This window comes from Homo sapiens, chromosome 21 (assembly GCF_000001405.40).
Source record: "Homo sapiens chromosome 21, GRCh38.p14 Primary Assembly".
In the NCBI taxonomy this organism is placed as follows: domain Eukaryota; kingdom Metazoa; phylum Chordata; class Mammalia; order Primates; family Hominidae; genus Homo; species Homo sapiens.
Genome location: NC_000021.9, coordinates 18,479,434 through 18,486,312, shown reverse-complemented (window position 1 = coordinate 18,486,312; position 6,879 = coordinate 18,479,434). Strand labels below are relative to the sequence as shown.

The 6,879-nt window shown below is 31.7% G+C and overlaps 1 protein-coding gene across 2 annotated transcripts in view; it reads left to right on the top strand.

Annotated features, from left to right (window-relative positions):
* Positions 1-428: 428 nt before the first annotated feature.
* Positions 429-6,879, top strand: part of TMPRSS15 (transmembrane serine protease 15) — a 216,769-nt gene continuing 210,318 nt past the window's right edge. For both annotated transcript variants that reach the window (NM_001428057.1, NM_001428056.1), the window contains exon 1: positions 429-514. The gene's annotated coding sequence lies outside the window, so the exon portion shown is untranslated. The remainder of the gene's footprint in view (positions 515-6,879) is intronic.

The following is a 6,879-nucleotide window of genomic DNA, read 5'->3' as shown; positions in this document are numbered from 1 at the left end:
AAACTTGAGTCCAATCCTAGAATCAAATGGCTTCCCCAGGAATTTCTTTAAAATACTTAAAATGGAAATAACACAGATATACAGAATTTCCAAATGTTTTTGAATGATCTTCCAGAGTTACAAAAGTTCATGAAGCTATCATCTTGAGATTAATATCTGAAAAGTTGTGAGACAAAAGGACAGTTACAGATCTGTCTTAGAAACAAAATATTACTCAATTAGGCCTAAGAATATATATAAATGATAGGATTTGGCTGTGTTCCCACACAAATCTCATCCAGAATTGTAATAATCTCCACATGTCAAGTACGGGCCCAGGTGGAGATAATTGAATCATGGGAGCAGTTTCCCCCATACTGTTCTCGTGGTAGTGAATAACTCTCACGAGATCTGATGGTTTTATAAATGTGAGTTCTCCTGCACAAGCTCTCTTGCCTGTCACCATGTAAGAAGTGAATTTGCTCCTCGTTCGCCTTCTGCCATGATTGTGAGGCCTCTCCAGCCATGTGGAACTGTGAGTCAATTAAACCTCTTTCCTTTATAAATTATCGAGTCTTGGGGTATGTCTTTATTAGCAGTGTGAGAACAGACTAACACAATAAAGAATTACAGTAAATTATGACAAAATATGGCTTGTTTCAGGAATTCAAGGGAAGTTAAGATTCATAAGTCAATATTATTCACCATGTCAAAAGAATAAAGAAGAGAAACTATGTAATTATTTTGACAGATGCTGAAAAGTCATCTGAAAAAAATTTTGTAACTATACATGATTAGAAACAACCAAAACAAACAAAAAAGATTACTTAGCAAAAAATGAATAGTGTGAAATTTCTCTAACCTGATAAAAAGCTATCTACAAAAGGCCAATAGTTAATATTACACTAAATATTAAGTATTAAGAGTATTTCCCGATGACATCAAGGATGAAAAAAATATTTACTATCACCTCGTCTTTTCTACATTGAACTGAGGGTCTTAGCTAATATAATAAGGCAAGAAAAAATACATAAAGATTGAAATAAAGAGGAAAAAATTATCATTATTCACAGATGAAATTATTTGTGTACATAGGATATCTATTAATTTAACAATTTATTGGATACAAGCAAATATGTAAAAGTAAATGGTATTCATTTTGTTTACCAATTACAAAGACATTAGAGTAAAATTTTAAAAGATAATCTTTATAATAGCAACAAACACCAAAAAGATCATGGTTTTAACAAAATATGTATAAGAACTATATTAAAACATTAAAACACAAATAACAAAAATAAAGGACTTAACTCAATGAATTAAAACAATCAGTATCAGAAAGGTGACAGTTCTACCCAATCTGATTTTTTTAAATCTCTTATTCATGAGGAAAATGAAAATTTGATTATAAAATTTATGAATTAATGCAAGGAGCTAAGGACAGTTAAGGCAACCTTACAGAAGAAAGATAAAAACAGAAAAAATACAGTGGCAGATATTGGATAAACCTGTAGTAATTAAGACAATTTACCAATGATGCTAGGTAATTATGGAAGAAAATAGAGAGTGGGAACAGAATATAGAGCACAGAAACAGATTCACCCATATATAATCACCTTATTTATGACAATGAATTCTTTATTAAAAGATAATTCTTTTTAATAAATGGTACTGTGGCAACTGGAAATCCAACTAGAAAAACATAATGTCCTGATCACTACATATATAAAAGTATGCTAGTCTGCATATATAAATAGAAGGTATAAAAAAGAACAGATGAATGAATGAATGAATGAATAAAAATTTTTTTTTTAGAGAGAAGGAAAAGATCAAGGTTAGAAGGAGACTTGTAGCCTATTTTTCTCCCTTTAATGTGGATACTTGAAAAGGAAATAGTCTGATTAAATCCTTCTACAATTATGCTACTAAACAAATACCCTAGCAAAAATATTGCTTAAACTTTTTATGTTAAACTTAAACCAGAACATGGCCTAATACAAGAGATAAAAGGCACTGTGGGAGTAGCATTGACAATCATGGACCTCCTTAAAGACTAAGCTTTTGTTTTGCTATCGTATCCTGTGAATTGTGAGTAAATTCAGTACTAGAATTAAAAATGTACATACATCGTCTGACTTGACATTTATTTTAGGAAACGATTTCCTAGTTCACCAGAAAGCAAATACATTCTAAGAATAACTAAATAGATTGTGGTATGATTACACAATGGAATACTGTAAAGAATGAAAATAAGTAAACTACAACTATGCAACAACATGGATAAATATTACAAAGGTAACTTTTTGAGGAAAAGAAAAGAGGGCACCTAGTAATGTATTCTGTGTGATTCCAGTCATATAAAATAAAAAATAAGGATTACTAAACAAGATCAGTTAATCTGTTGTTTAGGTGTTGGCATATTGGTTATCCATAATTCTCAGTTACTGGAAGTGGACACGAGAAGTTTCTGTGATGCTGGTATATTCTCTCTGTTTGATTCTGGTTACATTGGTGTAGTAACCTTGTGAAAATTCATAAAGATATGCATGATGATTTGTGCATTTTTTGTATAAATGCTATACCTTAAAAATATATTTAAAAGTCTAGAAAAGTGAGATGAGTTGTCAATTATCACACAATTACTTCAAGGAAAAATGTTGAAATAATATCCAGATATATTTCTAGTATTCTTATTATGTATACAGCTATGAATAATGCACACAGACATATTAGACAAATACCCAAATCTCTAATCGAGGCTTGTATTTATAATTTTCTAAAGGAATTTTACAGGTTTGCCAATAAAAATGTTACGCTATGTAAACTACAAAGGAAGAAATTACAGCAAACACCTTTACAGATTTGCCCTGGGTCTCAAAAATATCATGGAGTAGCAAATGTTAAAACCGAAACTCTAATGTTAGAACCAAAGGGCTGAATCACAAGCAGTTGCTGAACTTCAGAGTACAATCTATTTCAGTTGAGAAATAGCCCAGGGTGTAGAGAAGCGAACTGCTGTTTGGAAAAATAATAAATAGCAATGGCAAGGAAAGGATACCGATGCCTTTTCCCTGCCGGAAACTCACATTTTATCTGAACTCAGTGCGCTTTGATCAAAACTAAAAGAAGCAAAGGAAAATATACATTAGAAATTATTTTTGAGAATTGAAAAGGAAATTGTTACAAGTAAAATGATAGGGAATGTAGAAATTTCATCTAACAATTCTAGTGAGGTAAAACTGGAATTTCTATGATTAAATCACATATGAATAATATAGATACTAATAGTATTCCACTAATCACAGCTGTTTGGAAAGAATAAGCCTTGCACCTGGGACCCAGTAATTTAACAATAATCTAAAAGAATGGAAGCAAAGAGACAAAGAGGTTATAAAGAAGTCTTGTTTAACTGACTCTCAGTAAGGAAATAGTTACATATTAATAGATTCAAGAGCACTAGGATAAAGTAAGTTAGAAAGAGAAAGTAAGCTAGATAAGTTAGATAAGATAAAATAAGTTAGAAAGAAGGTGTTTCAGTTGAATTGAGATTTCCTAGACTAATATAAGGAAAAAAGCACACCAAGGCACAGACAATTTAAATAAGCTTCATTTGGAATTTTAAAAAATCACACAAAATATTTTCCTCAATAGGTAAAATCATATCATTTCTTCTATGTATACCCTAACCAATATAGCAATTACAAAAAAAATTGAAGGAATATAAAATTAAATAAATAAAATTAGGAGAAAACTAATTTTATTGGTACATAATATTTTACTTATTTATGGGGTGCATGTGGTATTTTGTTACATGCATAGACGTGTAATGATCAGTCAGGGTATTTGAGGCATCCATCACTTTGAGTGTTTATCATTTGTGTATTTGTGAAAAATTCAAGTCTTCTCTTCTAGCAACTTTAAAATATATAATATATTGTTGCTAAATATAGTCGCCATACCCTATTGTCTAAAGAAAACTAATAATTTTAAGATTACATGCTTATTTGAATATATTTTAAGATACTATTTTTAGAAGTGTAAAAATTCTGATTTAAATGTATAAAGTTTTTGGAAGATTTAATTCTCAGGAATTTCATCAAAATTGGTGTTCATATTGGATAATGTTCCTATTCTCTCTATCAAAATTATTTATATTATAATTTAAGTTGGTTAATATGATGAGAAGAAAATGAAAAAAATGAAGCAATACAATAAGTATATTTAGAAAAATTAGAAGTGAAGATGTATATAAAATAATTGAAATAATATATCGTAGATAAAATTATATTAATGCTAATGTAAATGCTGAAGTAAAGCAAGTGAAAGAACTGTAAGACAAAAATTATTACTATTCAGTCATATCTGAAGAAAAATGTTTTCCTGAATCTATGAAACAAATATTTCCTCAGAATTTGCTTTCATGTTTTCCTCCTGCATCTATTGTTTTTGATTATATAAATTAAGATTAATTCCCTCAGAAAATAAATTTGACTTGTGGTTGTAAAACTTTGAAATAGACTTTTGATTAAAGGATGTTTTTAATGTATTACCTACCTATTATTGCTATGCAAAGATTAGGAGAGATCATTTTAGGTTAAAATAGGAGAAAGGAGTAAAATTTAATTTTACTCCTTAGTAAGAGAGAGAGTTTTACTAATAGAACTGCACATGTGGCTGAAAATATGTAGGTGATTAGGACTTGGATTTTTTGTTTATCTCAAGATAAAAATATTTATTTTCTAATCCGTCTTCTGTAGGTTTTATTTTTGACATTAATAATTTGTGTACAAAGTTTAACGTGCAATGCCCCGTGCCCCTGACATCAAGCATGCATCAGCAAAAAGATACATCACATAGCAACATAAATTGTTTTACAACTGAAAATTATGTGTAACATAATAAATCACATGTTCCCATTTTTATTTATTAGGGAAAAACAAATTATGTATAACACCTCTATAACCTACTGAATAATAATAATGCTGTGGGTTGGAGTCTTTGCATACGTTATTCTATTTTATCCTGACAACACTCAATTGAGGCAGTCAAAGCCAGTAATTTGCAAGTAAGTCAATAGAAGCTCAGAAGAGTTAAGAAAATAGATGAAGTCGGTGTACCTGTGATGAAATAAGGGAGGGACTCTTAGGAATAGTACTTTATAAATTGGGAAACGAAGTTCCAGAAAAGTTAAATAACTTTCCAGAGGACACAGTTGCCAAATGGTAGAGTCAGGATACAAATCCTAGTAATCTGAGCTTGGATTTCATTGTATCAGGCATTACTCTGCCTCTGGTTTCAAGTTTGATTCCAAGACCACAGTATTTCAGACTTGTTTGAGTTCGATTAGTGGAGTTATCAATGACTCAATGTTGATTAGAACAAGTTGTTCCCTTTTGCTCTTTCATTATGCTATCTTTTTGATTAATGTCAGTCTCATTTTCAGAATAGTGACTAGCTAGGCAGCCTCCAATGACCCTTAGTAATACAACAAGAGCCACATGAAGATGGGACAAGAGTTAATATCTTTTATCTTGTTGACTTGCTTTGAGATTAGTATTAATGAAGCAGAGTCATGAATTTAAATTCCCTTTGAGTCACATAGATTTTTTTTAGATTTGATAACTACCCATTGCTTAGATTTAAGGTAGTCATTTTCTCTGACAAATAAATCATGCAGGTCACCAGGGAGGCAAGGTGAGAGCATATAGGTAAGTCTGCATCATCTTGAGCACCCTGACAAAAGAACTCAAAGTCCATCCATTTAGAATGTCCAGTCATTTCATCTTTACTTACAAACTAAACTTGCCGGTTTTGGTAGAATTTGATGCTGGTTTAAATAAAAAATATGTTTGTACATGCCTTCAAATATTGGTGCATATACAGTTAACATGACATAATCTCACTAAACCATGGCCTGGGTAGATTATAGAAAGTCTACTAAAATCTCCTGGAGACTATATTGTAAGAGAGTCTTTGTCAACCTACAGCACCACCTAAGAGAACGTGAGCTAGTTGTTTAAAAATCCATACATGAACAAGACTAAAAGTTTTCCCAGGGTGAGAGAATTCAGATACTAAAACCAGCATAATACTGTGCAAACTGTGATGACTGGCCATCATATTATTAGATCAGATATTTGAAAGAAATATTCAGCTCCCACTTATGAGTGAGAATACGTGGTGTTTGGTTTTCTGTTCCTGTGTTGGTTTGCTGAGAATGATGGTTTCTAGCTTCCTCCATGTCCCTGCAAAGGACATGAACTCATCCTTTTTCATGGCTGCATAGTATTCCATGGTGTACATGTGCCACATTTTCTTTATCCAGTCTATCATTGATGGGCATTTGGGTTGGTTCCAAGTCTTTGCTATTGTGAACAGTGCTGCAATAAACATACACGTGCCTGTTTCTTTGTAGTAGAATGATTTATCATCCTTTGGGTATATACCCAGTAATGTGATTGCTGGGTCAAATGGTATTTCTAGTTCTAGATCCTTGAGGAATTGCCACACTGTCTTCCACAATGGCTGAACTAATTTACCATCCCACCAATATTTTAAAAGCATTCCTATTTCTCCACATCCTCTCCAGCATCTGTTGTTTCCTGACTTTTTAATGATCGCCATTCTAACTGGTATAAGATGGTATCTCATTGTGGTTTTGATTTGCATTTCTCTAGTGACCAGTGATGATGAGCTTTTTTTCATGTTTGTGGGCCACATAAATGTCTTCTTTTGAGAAGTGTCTGTTCATATCTTTTGCCCACTTTCTGATGGGGTTGTTTGTTTGTTTTCTTGTAAATAACATATTTTTCTTTAGTCCCTAAAGGCTGGAATTGACTATGAAAGAAAATTGCCATGATGCATTTGTGACTCAGAACTATCCTATTGACTATGATGCCC